Below are 24,375 nucleotides of genomic sequence, written 5' to 3'. Positions count from 1 at the left end.
ATTGACTAGGTTTTCTTCTAGGGTTTTTATGGTTTTTGGTCTAACACTTAAGTCTTTAATCCATCTTGAATTAATTTTTCTATAAGGTGTAAGGAAGGGATCCAGTTTCAGCTTTCTACATATGGCTAGCCAGTTTTCCCAGCACCATTTATTAAATAGGGAATCCTTCCCCCATTTCTTGTTTTTGTCAGGTTTGTCAAAGATCAGATGGTTGTAGATATGTGGCATTATTTCTGAGGGCTCTGTTCTGTTCCATTGATCTATATCTCTGTTTTGGTACCAGTACCATGCTGTTTTGGTTACTGTAGCCTTGTAGTATAGTTTGAAGTCAGGTAGCGTGATGCCTCTGGCTTTGTTCTTTTGGCTTAGGATTGACTTGGTAATGCGGGCTCTTTTTTGGTTCCATAGGAACTTTAAAGTAGTTTTTTCCAATTCTGTGAAGAAAGTCATTGGTAACTTGATAGGGATGGCATTGAATCTATAAATTACCTTGGGCAGTATGGCCATTTTCACGATATTGATTCTTCCTACCCATGAGCATGGAATGTTCTTCCGTTTGTTTGTATCCTCTTTTATTTCATTGAGCAGTGGTTTGTAGTTCTCCTTGAAGAGGTCCTTCACATCCCTTGTAAGTTGGATTCCTAGGTATTTTATTCTCTTTGAAGCAATTGTGAATGGGAGTTCACTCATGATTTAGCTCTCTGTTTGTCTGTTATTGGTGTATAAGAATGCTTGTGATTTTTGTACATTGATTTTGTATCCTGAGACTTTGCTGAAGTTGCTTATCAACTTAAGGAGATTTTGGGCTGAGACAATGGGGTTTTCTAGATATACAATCATGTCATCTGCAAACAGGAACAATTTGACTTCCTCTTTTCCTAATTGAATACCCTTTATTTCCTTCTCCTGCCTAATTGCTCTGGCCAGAACTTCCAACACTATGTTGAATAGGAGTGGTGAGAGAGGGCATCCCTGTCTTGTGCCAGTTTTCAAAGGGAATGCTTCCAGTTTTTGCCCATTCCGTATGATATTGGCTGTGCGTTTGTCATAGATAGCTCTGATTATTTGGAGATACATCCCATCGATACCTAATTTATTGAGAGTTTTTAGCATGAAGAGTTGTTGAATTTTGTCAAAGGCCTTTTCTGCATCTGTTGAGATAATCATGTGGTTTTTGGCTTTGCTTCTGTTTATATGCTGGATTACGTTTATTGATTTGAGTATATTGAACCAGCCTTGCATCCCAGGGATGAAGCCCACTTGATCATGGTGGGCTGGATCATGGTGGGGTGGATTTTTGATGTGCTGCTGGATTCGGTTTGCCAGTATTTTATTGAGGATTTTTGTATCAATGTTCATCAAGGATATTGGTCTAAAATTCTCTTTTTTGGTTGTGTCTCTGCCAGGCTTTGGTATCAGGATGATGCTGGCCTCATAAAATGAGTTAGGGAGGATTCCCTCTTTTTCTATTGATTGGAATAGTTTCAGAAGGAATGGTACCAGCTCCTCCTTGTACCTCTGGTAGAATTCGGCTGTGAATACATCTGGTCCTGGACCTTTTTTGGTTGGTAAGCTATTGATTATTGCCACAATTTCAGAGCCTGTTATTGGTCTATTCAGTGATTCAACTTCTTCTTGGTTTAGTCTTGGGAGGGTGTATGTGTCGAGGAATTTATCCATTTCTTCTAGATTTTCTAGTTTATTTGCATAGAGGTGTTTCTAGTATTCTCTGATGGTAGTTTGTATTTCTGTGGAATCAGTGGTGATATCCCCTTTATCATTTTTTATTGCATCTATTTGATTCTTCTCTCTTTTCTTCTTTATTAGTCTTGCTAGCGGTCTATCGATTTTGTTGGTCTTTTCAAAAAACCAGCTCCTGGATTCATTAATTTTTTGAAAAGTTTTTTGTGTCTCTATTTCCTTCAGTTCTGCTCTGATTTTAGTTATTTCTTGCCTTCTGCTAGCTTTTGAATGTGTTTGCTCTTGCTTTTCTAGTTGTTTTAATTGTGATGTTAGGGTGTCAATTTTGGGTCTTTCCTGCTTTCTGCCAATAACTATTAAATTTGCTTTTTTAAGGCTATTTTTTAGATCCTGTATGTGTGCTTCATTGTTTTTTATTCTTTTTCCTTTTGTCTCCTCTGACTGTATTTTCAAATAGCCTGGCTTCAAGCTCACTAATTCTTCTGCTTGATCAGTTTTGTTATTAAATGACTGTGGTGCATTCTTCAGTATGCCAATTGCATTTTTCAGCTCCAGAATTTCAGCTTGATTCTGTTTAATTATTTCAATCTTTTTGTTAAATTTATCTGATAGACTTCTGGATTCCTTTTCTGTGTTATCTTGAATTTCTTTGAATTTCCTCAACACAGCTATTTTAAATTCTCTGTCTGAAAAGTCACATATCTTCTTTTCCAAGATTGGTCTTTAGTGCCTTATTTAGTTCATTTGGTGAGGTCATGTTTTCCTGGATGGTGTTGATGCTAGTAGATGTTCTTCAGTGTCTGGGCATTGATGACTTAGGTATTTATTGTAGGCTTCATTGTCGGGGCTTATTTGTACCCGTCCTTCTTGGGAAGGTTTTCCAGATATTTGAAAGGACTTTGGTGTTATAATCTAAACTATATCTGCTTTAGAGGGCACTCCAAGCCCAGTAATGCTGTGGTTCTTGCAGACTCATAGAGGTACCGCCTTGATGGTCATGGACAAGATATGGGAGAATTCTCTGGATTACCAGGCTAGGACTCTTGTTCTCTTCCTTTACTTTCCCTCAAACAGTCTGTTTCTGTGTTCTGAGCCACCTAAAGCTAGGGTGAAGTAACCCAAGCACCCCTGTGGCCACAACTACCATGACTGTGCTGGGTCAGACCTGAACCCAGCATGGCACTTGGTCTCACACAATGCCTGCTATATTCACTTCCTGGCTACTGCCTATGTTTGCTGTAGGCCCTGGGACTCTACAATCAGCCAGTAGCAAAGCCAGCCAGGCCTATGTCCTTCCTTTCAGGGCAGTGAGGTCCCCCAGGCCCTGGGTGGGTCTAGAGGTACCATCTGGGAGTCAGGGACTAGAGTCAAAAACCTTAGACGTCTACCTGATGTTCTATTGCACTGCAGCTGAGCTGGCACTCAAACCACAAGATGCAGTCCTTCCCACTTTTCCCTCCCCTTTTCAAAGACAGAGGAGCCTGACTCCATAGCCACCACCACCCCAGGTCACAAAGAGTACTGCCAGAACACTGCTAATGCCCCTTAAGGCACAAGGTCTCTTAAGTCAGTTTGTGGTGGATGCTGCCTGGCCTGAGACCCACCCTTTAGGGCAGTGGGCTCCTCTGTGGCCCAGGGCAGGTCCAGAAATGCCATCCAAGAGTCATATCCTGGAATCAGGGACCCCAAGAGCTCACTTGGTGCTCTATCCTCCTATGCCTGTGCTGATACCTAAGGTGAAAGGCAAAGTCCCCTTTAGTTTTCTCTCTGCTTTTGTCAAACAGAGGGAGTTTTTTCCCATAGCCACCACAGCTGATAATGTGCTGAGTCTCACCTGAAGCCAGCAAGTCTCAGAGGCTCACGCAAGGCCCTTGATGTAGTACCTGTGTATCACTGCTGGTTGTTCAGGTCCCAAGGGCTCTTCAGTTAGCAGGTGATGAATGCTGCCAGTTTTTGAGTCCTGTCCTTCAAGGCAGGGGTTTCCCTTCTGGCTCTGAGTATGTCTAGAAATGACATCTGGGAACTAGGGCCTGGAATGGGGCCCTCATGACTCTGACCAGTGTCCTGTCTTGCTGTGGTTGAGCTGTTATTCTCCTCAAGCAAAAAGAAGGGGTCTCTTTTGGAGCCTCAAGATGTGCAGCATGGGGTTAGGTGAGGGTGATGCCAGCATACCTTTGGCTGCCCCAACTTTGGTCTCAGTATGTCATGTGCCCACGCAGTCCACTGTCTCTGGGCCTAGTTCAGCTCTAGGACTCACCTAAGGGTTGCAGTCCTTAAGGCCTACACTGCCTTTCAAGTTTACCTGGAGACAGAGGGCACTGTAGCCCTCAGTGGCGAGGTTTGCAGAAACTCAAATTCGGACCAATGGAATGGGCATTTCCCCTCTGGCTTGGGCTAATTTAAATGCTCCCTCCGTGGCTGGACATCAACTGAGTTTAGTCTGGTTTTCCTTTCTGCTCTAACAGGACAGCACTGAGTTCAGTGCCTCAAAACTGCTGTGTTCTCCCTCCCTCAGTGCCCAGAGATGCTCTCTGCCCCACTCTGCCACTTCTGGGGTGTAGGGGAGGGGTGGCCTTAGTGATTCAGGACTGTTTTTTGCTTTTCTGTGTTTTGTTTTTTTTTTAATCCCTTCTGTGCCTCTTTCAGTGGTGTGAAGTTAAAACCAGGTACTATGAGTCTCACCTGATTTTTGGTTCTTATGAAGGTATTTTTTTTCTGTGTAGATAGTTGTTAACTTGTGTTTGGGGATGATTGGTGGAGGCTTCTATTCTGCTATTTTGCTCTGCCTCCCTAATTCAAATATGTGGTTAACTTTTATGGGGGTTCCGTGAACATTTGAAAAGAATGTGTACTGTTTATAGCAGGAGTCCCCACCCCCAGGCCATGGACCAGTACAGGTTCATGGCCCATTAGGATCCAGGCCGCAAAGCAGGAGGTGAACGGCAGGCTAGCAAGTGAAGCTTCATCTGTGTTTACAGCCACTCTCCATCACTGACATTACTGCCTGAGCTCCACCTCCTTTCAGATCAGTGGCAGCGTTAGCTTCTCATTGGAGAGTGAACCTATTGTGAACTGCACATGCGAGTTCTAGGTCACGTGCTTCTTATGAGAATCTAATGCCTGATGATCTGTCACTGTCTCCCACCATCCTAAGATGGAACTCTCTAGATGCAGGAAAACAAGCTAAGGGCTCCCACTGATTCTACATTATGTTGAGTTGTGTAATTATTTAATTATATATTACAATGTAATAATAATAGAAATAAAGTACACAATAAATGTAATGCACTTGAATCATCGCAAAACCATCCCCCTCCACAGTCCATGGAAAAATTGTCTTCCACAAAACCAGTCCCTGGTGCCAAAAAGGACTGGGACCACTGCTTCATAGCATATGAAGTTGTATACCTGAGTATGAAATAAAATTTATAAATTATATTATTCAGATTATGCCTTTTATTGACCACTTAATTTTTTGCTGCTGTTGTTTGACATGTAAGCATCCTCTTACCCCATAGAACTTTACTGTGATGTGAATATTTTATCCTTTTCAGTTCTAATTAATCATTTTTACCTTGAATTCTGTGTTTGCAGTTAATATTACCATTGCTACTTAATTTTGTTTGTATTTCTTAGACATATATTTTCTCATCTCTTTATTTTCTATATTGTGAAGACTTTTTGTTTGAGGTGTTTTGTTTTGAACAATAATTTAGTGATGTTTTCTTTTGCCCCAATCTGATTATGTTTGTCTCTTTATAGAGAAATTTAACACATTCACATTTGTTGTGGTATTTGTATTTTATTTGGTCCCTATTGCTTTTTGCAGAGTGGGGGTGAGCTGGAGGGAAGTAAGGTTTTCTTTTTTTTCTTTTCTGTCTTGCTGTATTGATCAAATTTTCTTTATTTGTCTCCCTTCCTGCTAGAGATTGAGAAGTTCTACTGCTCAGTTTCCCCTACCCCCCAAAATCATACATGGGTGTATAATTTCTAAGGCAAAACTTTTAAAATTCACAGTTGCCACATAGGTGCCATAATTTAACTATGCTTAGAATGCTACAGTCTATGATCTTTTTCTCTCAGAGTTCTGTAAATGTTACCTCACAGTATTCTGACATTTAGGGTTGATGATAATCACATTCTCTTTCTTTGGAAGATAATTTTTTTTTTTTGACATAGAAACTCTAAAGGTTTTCTCTTTATTTTTGGAAATTTTTTTTCAATGCCCAACTCTTTGTCTTATATTTTCCCCTTAAGCTTTGGAAAAATTATTTGCAAATGTTCTCATTTACTAATTTTGATGTTTGAAAGATTCACGCCACTGTGCATTCCTTCAGTGCATAGTAGACTTTGCATTGAGTTTTTATTTGGGTAATCAACTTTTTCATTTCCATAGTTTCTTGTTTTCATATTTCTCCTTTTTTACAAAAGCCTGCTGTTTTATAATCAATGAAGTGTACCTTCCTAACTTTTTAACATCTTTGTTGGAGTATAATTGACATGTAATTAACTGTATATGTTTAAAATATACAGTTTGATACGTTTTGACATATGTATGAAACTGTGAACCATGGAACTATCACCACAGTCAAGATAATGAACATATGCGTCCCTTACCAAAGTTTCTTTATTCTCCTTTTTAATCATTCCTGCCTCTACTGTCTTCAGGAAACCATGGATCTGCTTTCTGTCACTATAAATTAGTTTGTATTTTGTAGACTTTTAAATAAGTAGAATTATACTATGCACTCTTTTTAAAAACATATTTCTAGGCCAGGTTCAGTGGCTCACGCCTGTAATCCCAGCACTTTGGGAGGCTGAGGTGGGAAGATTGCTTGAGGCCAGGAGCTGCAGACCAGCCTGGGCAACATGGTGAAATTCCATCTCTACAAAAAAATTTAAAAATTAGCCAGGCATGGTGGCCTGTGACTGTGATTCCAGCTACTCAGGAGGCTGAGGCAGGGGGATCTCATGAGCCCAGGACATAGAGGCTGCAGTGAGCCATATTCACACCACTGCACTCCAGCCTGGACAACAGAGCAAGACCCTGTCTCAAAAATTAAGGAAAGAAAGAATTTTTTAAATTAAATAAATAGAAATGGAAACATATAGCCAGGCATGATGGCTCATGCCTGTAGTCCCAGCTACTCAGGAGGTGAGGTGGGAGGATCACCTGAGACTAGGAAGTCAAGGTTGCAGTGAGCCAAGATCAAGCCACTGCACTCCAGTGTGGGCAACACAGTGAGACCCTGTCCTCAAAATAAATAAATTTAATAAAAACATTTCTAAATGAAAATTTCAAACATACAGAAAAATAGAGAAAAATATAATGAACTACAGTACATCTATTACTTAAATTTATAATATTTGTTGGCGGTTCATTTATTTAATTTTTTAAAATAAATTGACTTTATTTTTAAGTTTTTGTAAGTTTTTCTAATTAATAGACTTTATAAACTGATATGGTTTGGATTTGTGTCCTCACCCAAATCTCATGTCAAATTGTAATCCCCAGTGTTGGAGGAGGAGCCTGGTGGGAGGTGACTGGTTCATGGGGGCAGATATCCCCCTAGGTGTTCTCATGATAGTGAGTTCGTTCTCACGAGATCTGGCTGTTTAAAGTGTGTAGCACCTTCCACTTTAGTCTTCTACTCTGGCCATGTAAAACGTGACTCCTTCCTCTTTACCTTCCACCATGATTGTAAGTTTCCTGAGGTTTCCTCAGCCATGCTTCCTGTACAGCCTGCAGAACTGTAAGCCAATTAAGCTTCTTTTCATTGTAAATTACCCAGTTTCAGGTAGTTCCATGCAATAACAGACTAATACATAAACCTAAATAGTAGTTTTAGGTTTACAGAAAAATTGAGCCAATATTATAGAGAATTCTTATAGATGCCCTTTGCCCTGCATACATTTTCCCCATTATTAATATTTGCAATAGTGTGGTATATTTGATACAAGTAGGGAACCAATATTGATATGTTATTTTTGACTAAAGTCCATACTTTATATTAGGGTTCATCCTTTATGTCGCACAGTTCTATGGGTTTTAACTGTGTAATTTTTGTTTGTTTGACTTCTTTCACTTACTATAATCATTTCAAGATTCATTCATGTTTTTATGTGTATCACATGTTTGTTCCTTTTTATTCCACCTTTTGTTTATTCACATGTTTGTGGACATTTGAGTTGTTTCCAACTTGGAACAAATTCAGATAAAGCTGCTATGAACATTCATGTGTAAGCCTTTGTGTACACATAAGCTTTTGGGAAAATACCTAGAAGTGGAATGACTGGGTTATATGGTAAGAGTACGTTTAACTTTCTGAGAAATTGGAAAACTGTTTTTCCAAAATAGTCATACTGTTTTTTATTCCGACCAGCAGCGTATGAGTTCTGGTTGCTCCACATCTTTGTCAACATCTGGGATTGTCAGTCTTTAATTTTAGCCATTTAACAGGTGTGTGATATCTAATTTTTAAAATTTGCATTTCCCTAATAATTAATGGTGATGAACATATTTCTTATACTTATTGGCTATCTGAATATCATCAATGGTAGGTACCCATTTTCACATCTTTTGTCCATTTTTGTATTGGTTTGTTTTCCTATTACTCTGTTTTGAGAGTTCTTTATATATTCTGGATGTAAGTCCTTTATCAGATATAAGATTTAAAAATTGTTTTTTCTTTCTCTTAACATTGTCTTTCAAAGATCAGAAGCTTTTAATTTTGATAAGTTCAACTTACCAATTTTTTAATGGATCAAGCTTTTGGTATTTTATCTAATAACTCTTTGCGTGACCCAAGGACACAAAAATACTTTATGTTTTTTTCCAGAAATTTTATCTTTTTATGTTTTATTTACATTTAGGTTTGTGATTCATTTTGAGATAATTTTTGTATATGGAGTAAGATATAGATTCAGGTTTATGATTTTTGCATATGGATATCCATTTGTTCTCACACCATTTGTTGAAAAGAATATTCTTCCTCCATTGATTTATCTTTGCACCTTTATCAAAAATTAATTGACCAGGCTGGGCATGATGGCTCATGCCTGTAATCTCAGCACTTTGGGAAGCCAAGGATCACTTGAGGCCAGGAGTTCGAGACCAGCTAGGAGTTCGAGGCCTCTCTAGAGACAGGGAGACCTTGTCTCTTTGAAAAAAAAAAAAGGCATGGTGACACACATCTGTGGCTCCAGCTACTCAAGAGACTGAGGTAGGAGAACTTCTTAAACGTGGGAGGTAAAGGGTGTAGTGAGCCATAACTGTGCCACTACACTCCAGTAAAACTCTGTCTTAAATAAAAAAAAATTGGCTGGGCACGATGGCTCACGCCTATTATCCCAGCTCTTTGGGAGGCTGAGGTGGGTGGATCACTTGAGGTCAGAAGTTCGAAACCAGCCTGGCCAACATGGTGAAACCCATCTCTACTAAAAATACAAACAAAAAAATTAGCCAGGCATGGTGGCGGGCACCTGTAATCCCAGCTACTTGAGAGGCTGAGGCAGGAGAATTGCTTGAACCCAGGAGGCAGAGGTTGCAGCGAGCCAAGATCACACCACTGCACTCCAGCCTGGGTGACAGAGTGAGACTCCATCTCAAAAAATAAATACATAAATAAATAAAATTGACTAGGTATGTTTGGTTCTATTTCTGATCCCACTCTGTATTCTGTTTTGTTAGTCTGTATGTCTGTCATTATACCAATACTACACTGTTTTGATTACTGTAGCTTTTTTTTTTTTAAGACAGGGTCTCTGTGTTGCCCAGGCTGGCATGCAGTAGCACGATTACAGCCCACTGCAGCCTCAACCTCCGGGGCTTAAGCGATCCTCCCACCTCAGCCTCTCAAGTAGCTGGGACTACAGGCATGCACCACCACGCCTAGCTAATTTTTTATTATTTGTAGAGACAGTGTCTCACTATGTTGCCCAGGTTGGTCTCGAGCTCCTGTCCTCAAGCAATCCTCCTGCCTCAGCCTCCTAAAGTGTTGGGATTACAGGTGTAAGCCACTGTGCCCAGCCTACTGTAGCTTTATAATGAAACTTAAAATAAGATGGCATAAGTAGTCCTCCAACTTAGTTTCTGTTTTTCAAAATTGTTTTATTCTTCTAGGTCCTCTGCAGTTTTAGAATATATATAATGAGCTATGTATAGCTTTTATTGTGTAATAGAAGTTGAGTCATTATCAATAAATCAGTTATTCTTTAGTCTCAGGATTAAAACAAAACAATGTAAAAGAAAAAACTTCATGTGTCACACTTTAGGTAGACAAATATTTTCTAGCTAGGTAAATAATGTCAATATTCTGTGCCATGTGAGAACTCAGCATAGAATTATGATTGCATTTTTATATCAATTAAGGTTATTTGGTTCAAGGCATCAGAAATGTAAAGGGGATTTGATGGGAAAATGTTGGGGTAGCTCATTGAAGTGGAGGGGGAGCTGCAAGATCTAGGGTAGCTCTGAGAACCTTTAGACGTTGGACATAAGTACTCACTGTCATCATGATTCTATTAGCCTTTCTCCTTTGTGTCTCTCTGGGATTTTATTTTCCTAGGCTATTTCGTGTAGTGGAGCCCATGGCCTCCAAGAAGAGGAACTTTCTCTACCACAAGACAAATTTTGGAAAGGAATCTGATTGGCTCAGCCTGGACCACTTTCATTACTAGATTAGTCACCATTATTAGGGAAATGGAAAACTCTAATTGGTGAGCTCTGGAGTTTAATGTGAGAAAGTTTTCCCAAAGGAAGGGATTACTGTTGTCAGAAGTATGGAAAGTAGTTGTTGGGTACACAAACCCAACGGATATTCACCACCATGTACTACACACAGCTGGGAGATAGATCTATTTGATGACCTTAAAGCAATAGATTGCAGTTGGTGGGCTTTCTGAAATTCTCCTTGATACATACCATGTACCCTGCTCTTCCTAAAAAAAAAAAAAAAAAAAAAATCTATTCTCCTTGGGCTATGTGACATATTATATATAACATGTAAAAGTTGCCAGTATTTACATCTTGGTTTTATGTTTGTGAAATTATTGCTGATACTGTTTTGTTTAAATATTATATGGTAGTCCATAATCTTCATTCATATTTTTCTCTACTTTCTCCTTTAGGGTGCTGGAAATGTAAACAAGAATAGACTGTTCATTCCTGATGGCTTTTAGTCTATACTAACATATTGTTTGTCATGGCATCCGAGACTGAAAAGACCCATGCTTTACTGCAGACTTGTAGCACTGAATCTCTTATTTCCAGCCTTGGTCTGGGGGCATTTTGCCTCGTAGCTGACAGACTTCTTCAGTTTTCCACAATTCAGCAAAATGACTGGCTTCGTGCTCTCTCAGATAATGCAGTACATTGTGTAATTGGCATGTGGTCATGGGCGGTAGTCACTGGAATCAAGAAGAAGACTGACTTTGGAGAAATCATTTTAGCTGGATTTTTAGCCTCTGTTATTGATGTAGACCACTTTTTTCTAGCTGGATCCATGTCTTTAAAGGTAAAAAGCATAGGCTTAATTTTTCTGATCTTTAATTTCCTTAGCACTATTTTGCTGATCTTTACAGCATCATTTAGAACTAGAGAGGATTTGTCTTAAAATAGGAAAGCACATTCATGTAACCTTTTTGACCACTTAGTACTTGCCTAAAGATGCACACAGACATGTTGCTAATCAAATTATTTGCCATCACAAACTGCTATGGATTCACATAGAGCAAAGACCCACGAACTGTACCTAAAGAGTTCAGTGCTGGCTTACAGAGGATGCGTTTAGCCAGGTCTTGAAGAAAGTATTAGCAAACCGGTTTAAATTAACAGGGGTGATTCTCAAGGCTGTCCTAGTTCTTTCTGTATCAGTGTACTTTCTTCAGGAGCACACTTAACATTTCCCCCTTATTCTTTATGTTTTACAGTTAGTATGCAGCTCCTAAGTACTCCATAAAAGTTGAATAGCTTTAAGATGATTCCCAGTCCTAAGGAATGACTTGAACAGATTAATTCTCCCAGTCCCTTTTGGAGCGAAAGGCATGTATTTCAACTGGACTGGCTAGAACACAGTCCCTTGTGAAGAAATTGAGGAATTTCACTGAGGCATTCAGGAGTTCAGTTATATAGTTCACAAATGAACTAAACTTAAAATGTTGGTTCAGATAATATTTTCTAAATGTCAGAAGATTTGCCTATATTTTACGTGCTTATGATCTATAAACATTTCAGGAAAGAAATCTAAACTCATAGAGCAAGGACTTTCTGTTTCATTCACCCCTGGCCTAGAACAATGCCTGGCTTACCTAGTAGATATTCAGGAAATATTTGTGGAATGAATGAGAAATATTCACTTTTTCCTATTATGCGTCAAGTACCAGGTATTTCTCAGAAATTGATTCACTTATTTAGAAACTTAATCAGTAAAGAATCAGTAATTGCTAATTAAAGACAAACTTTTGTGCTATAAGTAGAGTTAGCATAACATTTTGTTTAAGATTGAAATGAGAAGACTTGAGTTTGAATCCTGGTTGTTTGGTGTTAGTAGAGTACTTTTCTTTTCTTCAGTTTTTTTTTTTTTTTTTATGGATTTAGGGCCACAAGCACAGTTGTATAACGTGTATGTATTGCATAGCGGTAAAGTCTGAGCTTTTAGTGTACCTGTCACTCTAATGCTGTACAAATAGTATTTTATCTCTCACCTCTTCTCACTCTCCCACCTCTTGGAGTCTCCAGTGTCTGTTATTCCACTCTGTATGTCCATGTGTACCCATTGTTTAGCTCTCGCTTACAAGTGAGAACATGTGTGTCTTTTTTACTTTCTGTTTCTGCATCATTTCACTAAGGATAATGGCCTCCAGTTCCATCCATGTTGCTGTACAAGACACGATTTTATTATTTTGTATGGGCAAGTAGTGTTCCATGGTGTGATTATATATCAATCACATTTTATCCAGTCATCCACTGAAGGACACTTAAGTTAATTCCATGACTTTGCTATTGTGTATAGTGCTGTCATAATCATACAAGTGCAGGTGTCTTTTTTATATAATGATTTCTTTTCTTTTTTCTTTCTTTTTTTTTTTTTTTTTTGAGATAGGGTCTTGCTGTGATGCCCAGGCTGGAGTGCAGTGGTGTGATCACGGCTCACTGCAGCATCAACCTCTTGGGCTCAGGCAATTCTCCCACCTCAGCCTCCTGAGTATCTGGGACCATAGTCACATGCCACCATGCCAGGCTAATTTTTAAAAAATTATTTGTAGAGGCAGGGTCTCCCTATGTTGCCCAGTCTGGTCTCAAACTCTTAGACTCAAGTGATCCTCCCGCCTCAACCTCCCAAAGTGCTGGGATTACAGGCATGAGCCACTGTGGCTGGCAATGATTAAGTTTTTTATAATAACTTATTTTCCTTTTAGAAGCTATTCAGTAGTGGGATTGCTGGATCAAAGGGTAGTTCTATTTTTAGTTCTTTGAGAAATCTCCATATTGTTTTCCATAGAGGTTATACTAATTTATATTCCCACCAACAATGTATAAGTGTTCCCTTTTCTCTGCATCCTTGCCAACATCTGTTGGTTTTTGACTTTTTAATAATAGCCATTCTGATGGTGTGTGATGGCATCTCATTGTGGTTTTAATTTGCATTTCTCTGATTATTAGTGATATGGAGCATTTTTTCATGTTTATTGGCTGCTTCTGTGTCTTCTTTTGAAAAATGTCTGTTCATGTCCTTTGCCCACTTTTTGATGGGGTTATTTGTTTTATTCTTGTTGAGTTGTTTGAGTTCCTTGTAGATTCTGGATATGAGCCCTTTTTCAAATGAACCCTACTTTCTCCCATCCTGTAGGTTGTCTGTTTACTCTATTGATTATTTCCTTTGCTGTGCAGAAGCTCTTTAGTTTAATTAAGTTCCCTTTTCTTCTTTAAGTTTTAATTTCTTCATCTGTAATATGTGGATTATAACATTACTTACCTTGTGGGGTTGTTGTGAGGATTAAATAAGCATGATAAGTGACATGTCCTGGTAAATATTAACAGTAAATGGGCCGGGTGCGGTGGCTTATGCCTGTAATCTCCCAGCACTTTGGAGGCTGAGGTGAGATCAAAAGATCAAGACCATCCTGGCCAACATGGTGAAATCCCGTCTCTACTAAAAATACAAAAAAAAATTAGCCGGGCATAGTGGCAGGCACCTGTAATCCCAGCTACTTGGGAGGTTGAGGCAAGAGAATTGCTTGAACCCGGGAGGTGGAGGTTGCAATGAGCCAAGATCACACTATTGCACTCCAGCCTGGGCAAGAAGAGCGAAACTCTGTCTCAAAAAAACAAAACAAAACAAAACAAAAAAAACAATAAATGTTAGAGATTGGGATAAGCTATGAAACATTATAAAATATGTGATTCATAAATGTGTTCATCTAGAATTTATTCTATTATAATTTTTAAAAGCATTTAGGCTGCATAACGTATTTATCCTTTAATTCACTTAGAAGCACTATTGTTAAGAATATGAACTATAGAGTTAGACCCAGGGTCAAATCCCAGCTGTGCCACTCATTAACTGCACAGTATGGGGGAAGTAACTAGCCTCACTGCCTCAGTTTCCTCTGCTGTAAAATGCTACCTACCACATAGAGTTGTTATAAGGATCAAGTGAGATAGTGCACATAAAGTACAGCATAGTTCTAGTATTAATCATTATTTTTGAATTAAGTATTAAAATATTTTACATCCACCATAAGGTGGTATGTGATTATCAGTAATAAATATCAAAACTGAATAAGTATTCATGACAGTGATCTATTTTTACTTCTATGATTCTATGATAATTCCATTTTCTTTCATTATTCATTGTTTTTCTATTAATAAAAAAATCAAAGGCCAGGCGCAGTGGCTCATGCCTGTAACCCCAACACTGTGAGGCTGAGATGGGAGGATCACTTGAGGCCAGGAGCTGAAGACCAGCTTGGGCAACAGGGCCAGACCCCATCTCTACAAAAAATAAAAAACTAGCCCGGCATGGTGGTGTATGCCTATAGTTCCACCTAATCAGGAGGCTGAGGCAAGAGGATCACTTGAGCCCAGGAGTTTGAGGTTACAGTGAGCTAAGATTGTGCCACTATACTCCAGCCTGGGCTTTGAGACAGCACAAGTCTCTGTCAAAAAAAAAACAAAAAAAAAAACGCTACATTGATATTTTAGACATCAGCCAACAACAAGAATTTCCAGTTTCTTTTTTAGCAGCTATTAATATAAATAGATGTTAATTCACAAATAAGAGTGTAAAGAATCAGTATGGCTGTAAACATATCCAGAGCATAACTCAACATCAGGTTATTGCTTTCTTGCAAGTAGTGATTACCATAGGCTCCTTAATCCCATCCTGTTGAAAATGTTGTACTTCCTATTAAAGGTGTCTCCAGTCTTTCCAATCAGTTCTATGATTTATATTTTACTAATATGGATTATAAACTAAACCTTTATTACTATAGTACATAAAAGTGCTTTTGTTGGGGGGAGAAATCCAATGCCAGTGTAATACTATTGCCTCTGCAAGTTATTTTATCTTTTGCGTGGAGGGCTTAAAAACTGTTCTTTTATCATTATTACAGTAATAGCTCTACTAAATTGTCTTGAAGCTTATCATTGAGTCAGTTTTTTCAGATGGGCTCTTTTAATAGATTTGCATTTTTATTTTTCGTTTTCTTGGATCATAGCTTTAAATACTAGTTCCATTCTATTTCTTTGTTTTTCTTCTTTAGGGACTTCAGTTACACATATGTTGTTTCTTTTTGCCTGTATTCTATTTCAGCTATTTTCTACCTGACTGTTTTTACTTTTTTCCTCATATCATTTTTATTCTCTTGGTTGGTTTCCTGCATTTTTTCTTTTCTTTCTTGAGACAGAGTCTTACTCTGTTGCCCAGTTTGGGGTGCAGTGGTGTGATCTCAGCTCACTGCAACCTCTGCCTCCTATGTTCAAGGGATTCTCATGCCTCAGCCTCCTGAGTAGCTGGAATAGCAGGCATGCACCACCATACCCAGCTAATTTTTGTATTAATTTTTTCAGTGTGCCTTATTAAACTTTCATTTGACCTATTCTCCCTTGGATACATTGCTATATAGTCATTTATTAGATTGTTTTTGTTTTTTTTCCATACTGAGTTTAATCAATTATTATCTTTTTTTAATCTATTTTTTTTCCATTTTTGAATTTCTGATTCAAGATTTTTTTATGTCCCCATGTGGTTGTTTGAGATTTAACGTACTTTGGAGTCGTGTGATATAATTTTCTTATGTTTTATGTAGTTTAAAAAAAATTTTTTTTTGTTTTGTATTTGTTACTAGGAACAGGGTTCAAGAGATAGTTTTTTTTGTGGGGGGGGGTTGTTTTTTAGACAGAGTTTCACTCTTATTGCCCAGGCTGGAGTGCAACGGTATGATCTCAGCTCACCTCAACCTCCACCTCCCAGGTTCAAGCGATTCTCCTACCTCAGCCTCCCAATTAGCTGGGATTACAGGCATGCACCACCATGCCCAGCTAATTTTGTATTTTTAGTAGAAACGGGGTTTCTTCATGTTGGTCAGGCTGGTCTCGAGCTCCTGACCTCAGGTGATCAGCCCGCCTCAGCCTCTCAAAGTGCTGGGATTAGAGGCGTGAGCCACTCCACCTGGCTTGATATTTTTATTCTGTTTCTGATTTTCCTCCTATACTAGCTTTTTATAGATTTGTTCTATTTTATCACTTCATTTCATGATATTACATGATTCTTTATTCTAACATATTCTTGGTTAAGGCAGTGTTAGCAAAAGGACCAATGATGAACTTAACATATTGTGGATATAGAATTTAAAAACAAAGGTGAAGACAAAAGTAGAATAATAATATAGAAATGGTACATGTTCTGATGAAGTAGAAGTAAAACAAAATGTGGAGGAGAAGGCAGGGAAAGAGGAGCGTAAAATAAACTCTTTGATGTTCAGACCGTAGGTGAGAGGTAAAGAATACTCGTTTGAGGAGAGGGTTTATAGGATTCCTTGTTCAAGGGTGGTCTGATTTGACAGTGGGACAAGGTAGAGTCTCTTTAATAGGTAACTTTTTTTCATGTGGTCGGAACATTGTCTGATTTTTGTTTGTGTTTTTTGGACAGGAAACTACATTTCTTCCTTTTACTACTTCTTTTCCTTTTCACCATCCAGTCTCCAAAGAGTGTCTCTCCCTTTCTTACCATCGTCTCCCCCAGAATCAATACCTTTCAGAGTCTTGAAGGTCCACTCTTAAGTCCTTTCCCTGCAGTTAGTGCTGTGACCTACTAGGACACTCTTCAGTATTTTCACACTTAAACTGAACTTCCTAGTGGTAATTTTAGATCAATCTTAGGTTTCCCCTCTTCTCTCTTCAATATAGTTTTTCCTGACTTGGATGGAAGTGTGAGAGAGAGAACCCACTGATTTGGTGTTTATGTTAATACTTATGGGTAATTTCAAATATGGGCATTCTCTGGCTTCTGTTTATGCTGAGGGTTTGAGATTTTGTGTAGTTTTATTTGTCCTTCATGTTTTATAATACTTTTAGAGGATATGTGCAGAGATTCAGATTTAGACAATCATAACTATCCTCAGCTTTATTTTTGTTTAGGGATTATCTCGCTGCAAATTAGTCTTTAAAGCAGGTGAGAACAAAACCCTACTCATGAATCATTCAGGGATTAAGCCTGAAATTTTTATTGGTTCAGATATTGAGTATACATTTTGGTAGTGGTTTAGAAATTTACTGAAGTTTGCCGGGCGTCATGGCTCACGTCTGTAATCCCAGCACCTTGGGAGGCCAAGGTGGGTGGATCATCTGAGTTCAGGAGTTCGAGACCAGCCTGGCCAACATGGTGAAACCCTGTCTCTACTAAAAATACAAAAATTAGCCGGGCATGGTGGCAGGTGCCTATGATCCCAGCTACTCGGGAGGCTGAGGCTGGAGAATTTTAACCCAAGAGGCAGAGATTGCAGTGAGCCGAGATTGCGCCACCGCACTCCAGCCTGGGCAACTGAGCAAGACTCCACCTAAAAAAAAAAAAAAGAAATTTACTGAAGTTTATTTAACTCAATTTTAGAATACGTATTTAAAATAATATAATTTTTCTAAATGTTGTAAATAAATTCCAAAAGTGTTTATAGCTAATATAAAATGGATATAACAAAAATATTTCCCTCTTTTGCCTTAACTAAAGAATATTTTATTTGGTTGTGAGATATTTTTACAGTGCTCTTAGAGGCCCTGGATAATTATATAAAACTCCAAATTACACAAACTGTACACTTAGATTATAAATTATGTTCATATTGTGAATTTTCTAAGCAAATAATGGGAAACTTAAAAAATTAATCACCATATTCCTGAGACCTTGATTTTATTTTTAATGTAAAGGATATCCTGCTCACACTTTTATATTCTTTTATATATATATAATTTTGGTATATGTATCCTGAAGTGGCATAGAACATGTTTCTTTTGCATGTCCAATAGACTCTGGAAAATATTTTAAAATATTAAGAAGCATGTATAAAATTTTGTTTTGCTAGAAAGGAAATGATACTCGCTATTACTTTGCTCCCTCAGGCTGCTTTGACTCTCCCGCGAAGACCTTTCCTTCACTGTTCTACTGTGATTCCCGTTGTGGTTCTGACCCTGAAATTTACTATGCACCTTTTCAAGCTCAAAGACTCATGGTGCTTTCTTCCCTGGATGTTATTTATATCCTGGACTTCACATCATATCCGAGATGGGATTCGTCATGGTTTGTGGATATGCCCATTTGGAAAAACTTCTCCTTTGCCATTCTGGCTTTATGTAATAATCACATCATCTTTACCTCACATCTGTTCATTCGTTATGTATTTAACAGGAACCAGACAAATGATGTCTTCAAAACATGGAGTTCGTATTGATGTCTGAGGTACACGGCAGTCTTAGAGAAGCAAATGGCTCAGATGATGATAATTAAGAGTAGCCAACATTAAAGTTAATTTTTAAAAATACAGTTAGGTGTTTATATTATTTAGTTATTATAATTCTGCAATCCTCTTGCTCAGGAAGTGTATACAACTTTTTTAAAAATTATACTTGTTATTATTCTACTTCTCTCTTCTATGACAACTCTAGTGCAATATTAGAGTTTCATTTATTCCACAATATATTTTTACTGTTTTTTTCTATTTATCTGGCTTTACTAGTAGTTCTTTTAGATTAACATCCAGTTCATTTTCTGGAAATATACCTGGAATTTAGTCCATTTCCTAATGAAAAACAGCTCAAATTTTAGGGTAACTAATTTGTAAAGAGTTAACATTATATTTGGATCCAATTTTCCTGAGATATTGAAATAGTGAAATCACCAAATAAATGATATGAATCATTTAACTATACAAATGTATAGTTAATGCTAACATGTATTTATTTTCATATATGTTGATCCTGAGTGAAATTTAATTTGCAGAATGCTTTATGAGTTATGATTACTGGCAAAACCTTCAGAGCACTTGTGACACATCATTATAATATCCAGTAGCTAACATTAGATCTAGCTTATTATTTCAGAAATTAATTTAGGAAATAATTATTAAAACATGTTGGCTACAGTAGCACTTTACTGAAGTAGTATTTTTTGGTATCTCTAGCCTAGAATCTCGTGTGTTAGTTTTAACTGTTTTGAAAATAATAAGTAACATTAACAAAATGTTGATATTTGGATCATAACCGTAACATTTGAATTTATGCAAAAAAAAGACCAGAAATGTCATTTCAAATGTAAATTCCTGAATGTACCATTAAAATTATTTTAGTTGCTATCAGTTTGTTTATATACTATTTTATATACTATTCTAAAATATTTTACTCTGCCTGATACTGAAAGACAGCATATATTTTTTTCAAAATAAAGTTTTAGGAAATTTGCTTTTTCCTTTTTCTTTCAGGTTGATCTTCTATTAAAATGATTCCTCTTTATTAGAGAAGGAAAATTTAGTTGCTATACATCTTATATTTGCACAGTTTATTAAAGTCAGTGCCCTAAAGGTACCTGCTTTTCTTTGTGGCATATATGGCATCTGCTGTCTTCAGATTTTCTTACACTTTTGTGATTTATAATGTTAGTGATTGGTGCCTTATTCTCTGAGGAAAGATGGAGGGTTCATAAAGCAATGCCTTATCCACAGCAGATTTTCTTGTATATTAAGTTAAACAGAATTCTGTAAATTATTATGAAGGTTCAAGCTCTTTAGGGGAGTTTTTTTTCTTGTTGTTAACAAATTGGTTGCAATCTATTATATTTTGCAATTGATTAGATATTACAGTCTACTTATTTTTCAAGAGTAATTATTGTATAAGTTTGGTTGGTATAATGGTAAATATTATATAGTGGGGGTAAATTTGATTAGAGTTTTTTTTTTAAGCACTGGCTTCAGAAATCCATGGAAATAAAGTCTGTATCTTGTGTAACAATTCCTGACTAAATTGCAAAACCTTTTCTACTTTTTCTTTCTTCATATTAAACAAATAAATATTATTAAAAATATAGGGCCTTATTTAAGAATGCTACATAGTGACCGGACGTGGTGGCTCACGCCTGTAATCCCAACACTTTGGGAGGCCGAGGCAGGCAGGTCACTTGAGGTCAGGAGTTCGAGACCAGCCTGGCCAACATGGTGAAACCCCGTCTCTACTAAAAATACAAAAATTAACTGGGCGTGCTGGTGTGCACCTGTAGTTTCAGCTATTCGGGAGGCTGAGGCAGACAATGGCTTGAACCTGGGAGGCAGAGGTTGTAGTGAGCTGAGATGGGGCCACTGCACTGCAGCCTGTGTGACAGAGGGAGACTGTCTTAAAAAATAAACATAAAATAAATAAATAAGAATGCTACATAGGCATTTTTTGGGTTGTCATAACTTTTCTTTATTAGAATGGGAATTCACTTTTGAACATAACTCCTTGCTTAAACAATCTGCACATTTTATGTGTGGATTCATCTTGGTTCCTACCTCTACCATCGGAAATCTTCCTTGTCCTCTAAATCAGCAGTCCCCAGCCTTTTGGCACCAGAGACTGGAGAGACTAGTTTGGTGGAAGACAATTTTTCCACAGATGGCAGGGGCGGGGTGGGGGTGGGGATGGTTTCAGGATGAAACAGTTCCATTTTAGATCATTCAGCATTAGATTCTCATAAGGAGCTTTCAACCTAGATCTCTCACATGTGCAGTTCACAATAGGTTTCCTGCTCCTATGGGTCTCTAATGCTGGAGCTGATCTAACAGGAGGTAGAGCTCAGGTGATAATGCTCGCTCACCCACCACTCACTTCCTGCTCTGTGGCCCAGTTACTAACAGGCCATGGACCAGTACCTGTCCACAGCCAAGGAGTTGGGGACCCCTTCTCTAAATGGACCACAAAAGTTGTGATTGTAATGTCTGGAAAACTAGCAACCACCTCCCCATGCCCGCACTTTGTTTTTGCTTACAATGAAAGAATTTGTGTCAATACAATGTTGTGATTGAAAGTTAGATTGTACCTTATTTGCACGTGTGCATTCTTCTCCATCCTCTAGACTAACTTCCTTCACCTAGTGTTTCTCTCTTTGCTGTTTCACTGATCCAACCTCCCAGTCTACCATTCTCTTTTCTTGAGTTGTGTTATTCATGCTGGCTTCTGGACAACTTCTGCCACTGAACTATGTTCTACTCATCCCCAAGCCCAGCTTTCTTTAATGGCAGGCTTAAGAATCCCTGTTGTGGAGAATGCCACAAAGATACTCCTTGAGAAGAGCAACTCCAAGACACATAATTGTCAGATTCACCAAAGTCAAAATGAAGGAAAAAATGTTAAGGGCAGCCAGAGAGAAAGGTCGGGTTACCCACAAAGGGAAGCCCATCAGACTAACAGCTGATCTCTCGGCAGAAACTCTATAAGCCAGAAGAGAGTCGGGGCCAATATTCAACATTCTTAAAGAAAAGAATTTTCAACCCAGAATTTCATATCCAACCAAACTAAGCTCCATAAGTGAAGGAGAAATAAAATCCTTTACAGACAAACAAATGCTGACAGGTTTTGTCACCACACAGACAAACAAATGCTGACAGGTTTTGTCACCACCAGGCCTGCCTTACAAGAGCTCCTGAAGGAAGCACTAAATATGGAAAGGAACAACTGGTACCAGCCACTGCAAAAACATGCCAAATTGTAAAGACCATCAATGCTAGGAAGAAATTGCATCAACTAACGAGCAAAATAACCAGCTAACATCGTAATGACAGGATCAAATTCACGCATAACAATATTAACCTTAAATGTAAATGGGCGAAATGCTCCAATTAAAAGACACAGACTGGCAAATTGGATAAAGAGTCAAGACCCATCAGTGTGCTGTATTCAGGAGACCCATCTCACCTGCAGAGACATAGGCTCAAAATAAAGGGATGGAGGAAGATCTGCCAAGCAAATGCAAAACAAAAAAAGGCAGGGGTTGCAATCCTAGTCTCTGATAAAACAGACTTTAAACCAACAAGATTAAAAGAGACAAAGAAGGCCATTACATAATGGTAAAGGGATCAATTCAACAAGAGCTAACTATCCTAAATATATATGCACCCAATACAGGAGCACCCAGATTCATAAAGCAAGTCCTTAGAGACCTACAAAGAGACCTAGACTCCCACACAATAATAATGGGAGATTTTAACACCCCACTGTCAACATTAGACAGATTAATGCGACAAAAAGTTAAAAAGGATACCCAGGACTTGAACTCAGCTCTGCACCAAGCTGACCTAATAGACATATACAGAACTCTCCGCCCCAAATCAACAGAATATACATTCTTCTCAGCACCACATCGCACTTATTCCAAAATTGACCACATAGTTGGAAGTAAAGCACTCCTCAGCAAATGTAAAAGAAAGAAATTATAACAAACTGTCTCTCAGACCACAGTGCAATCAAACTAGAACTCAGGATTAAGAAACTCACTCAAAACCACTCAACTACATGGAAACTGAACTACCTGCTCCTGAATGACTACTGGGTACATAACAAAATGAAGGCAGAAATAAAGATATTCTTTGACACCAATGAGAACAAAGACACAACATACCAGAATCTCTGGGACACATTTAAAGCACTGTGTAGAGGGAAATTTATAGCACTAAATGCCCACCAGAGAAAGCAGGAAAAATCTAAAATTGACACCCTAACATCACAATTAAAAGAACTAGAGAAGCAAGAGCAAACACATTCAAAAGCTAGCAGAAGGCAAGAAATAACTAAGATCAGAGCAGAACTGAAGGAGATAGAAACACAAAAAAACCCTCCAAAAAATCCATGACTCCAGGAGCTGGTTTTTTGAAAAGATCAGCAAAATTGATAGACTGCTAGGAAGACTAATAAAGAAGAAAAGAAGAATCAAATAGATGCAATAAAAAATGATAAAGGGTATATCACCACTGATCCCACAGAAATACAAACTACCATCAGAGAATACTACAAACACCTCTACACAAATAAACTAGAAAATCTAGAAGAAATGGATAAATTCCTGGACACATACACCTTCCCAAGACTAAACCAGGAAGAAGTTGAATCCTTGACTAGACCAATAACAGGCTGTGAAGTTGAGGCAATAATTAATAACTTACCAACCAAAAAAAGTCCAGATTCACAGCCAAATTCTATCAGAGGTACAAGGAGGAACTGGTACCATTCCTTCTGAAACTATTCCAACCAATAGAAAAAGAGGGAATCCTCCCTATTTTATGAGGCCAGCATCATCCTGATACCAAAGCCTGGCAGAGACACAACCAAAAAAGAGAATTTTAGACCAATATCCCTGATGAACATCAATGCAAAAATCCTCAATAAAATACTGGCAAACCGAATCCAGCAGCACATCAAAAAGCTTATCCTCCATGATCAAGTTGGCTTCATCCCTGAGATGCAAGGCTGGTTCAACATACACAAATCAATAAACACAATCCGTCACATAGACAGAACCAAAGACAAAAACCACATGATTATCTCAATAGATGCAGAAAAGGCCTTCAACAAAATTCAACAACCCTTCATGCTAAAAAATCTCAATAAACTGGGTACTGATGAAACACATCTCAAAACAATAAGAGCTATTTATGACAAACCCACAGCCAATATCATACTGAATGGGCAAAAACTGGAAGCATTCCCTTTGAAAACTGGCACAAGACAGGGATGCCCTCTCTCACCACTCCTATTCAACATAGTGTTGGAAGTTCTGGCCAGGGCAATCAGGCAGGAGAAAGAAATAAAGAGTATTCAGTTAGGAAAAGAGGAAGTCAAATTGTTCCTCTTTGCAGATGACATGATTGTATATTTAGAAAACCCCATCGTCTCAGCCCAAAATCTCCTTAATCTTATAAACAACTTCAGCAAAGTCACAGGATACAAAATCAATGTGCAAAAATCACAAGCATTCCTCTACCAATAACAGACAGAGAGCCAAATCATGAGTGAACTCCCATTCACAATTACTACAAAGAGAGTAAAATACCTAGGAATCCAACTTAAAAAGGATTTGAAGGACCTCTTCAAGGAAGAACTACAAACCACTGCTCAATGAAATAAAAGAGGACACAAACAAATGGAAGAACATTCCATGC

General features: G+C 38.1%; 1 protein-coding gene across 14 annotated transcripts in view; it reads left to right on the top strand.

Annotated features, from left to right (window-relative positions):
- TMEM267 (transmembrane protein 267) overlaps positions 1–20,622 on the top strand; it is a 40,136-nt gene extending 19,514 nt beyond the window's left edge. For 11 of the 14 annotated variants that reach the window (NM_001377396.1, NM_022483.5, NM_001377397.1 and 8 more), the window contains 2 exons: positions 10,831–11,216; positions 18,317–20,622. In NM_001377396.1, coding sequence (NP_001364325.1) covers positions 10,905–11,216; positions 18,317–18,652 — 648 coding nt within the window. In that variant the 5' untranslated portion in view covers positions 10,831–10,904 and the 3' untranslated portion in view covers positions 18,653–20,622. Of the gene's footprint in view, positions 1–10,268; positions 10,420–10,830; positions 11,217–18,316 lie in introns of all 14 variants that reach the window. The other 3 variants (NM_001377394.1, NM_001377400.1, XM_047417516.1) reach the window with 1 other exon arrangement.
- Positions 20,623–24,375: the final 3,753 nt, after the last annotated feature.

This window comes from Homo sapiens, chromosome 5 (assembly GCF_000001405.40).
Source record: "Homo sapiens chromosome 5, GRCh38.p14 Primary Assembly".
In the NCBI taxonomy this organism is placed as follows: domain Eukaryota; kingdom Metazoa; phylum Chordata; class Mammalia; order Primates; family Hominidae; genus Homo; species Homo sapiens.
The sequence above is the reverse complement of the archived record's forward strand: the minus strand, read 5'-3'. Positions and strand labels throughout refer to the sequence as shown.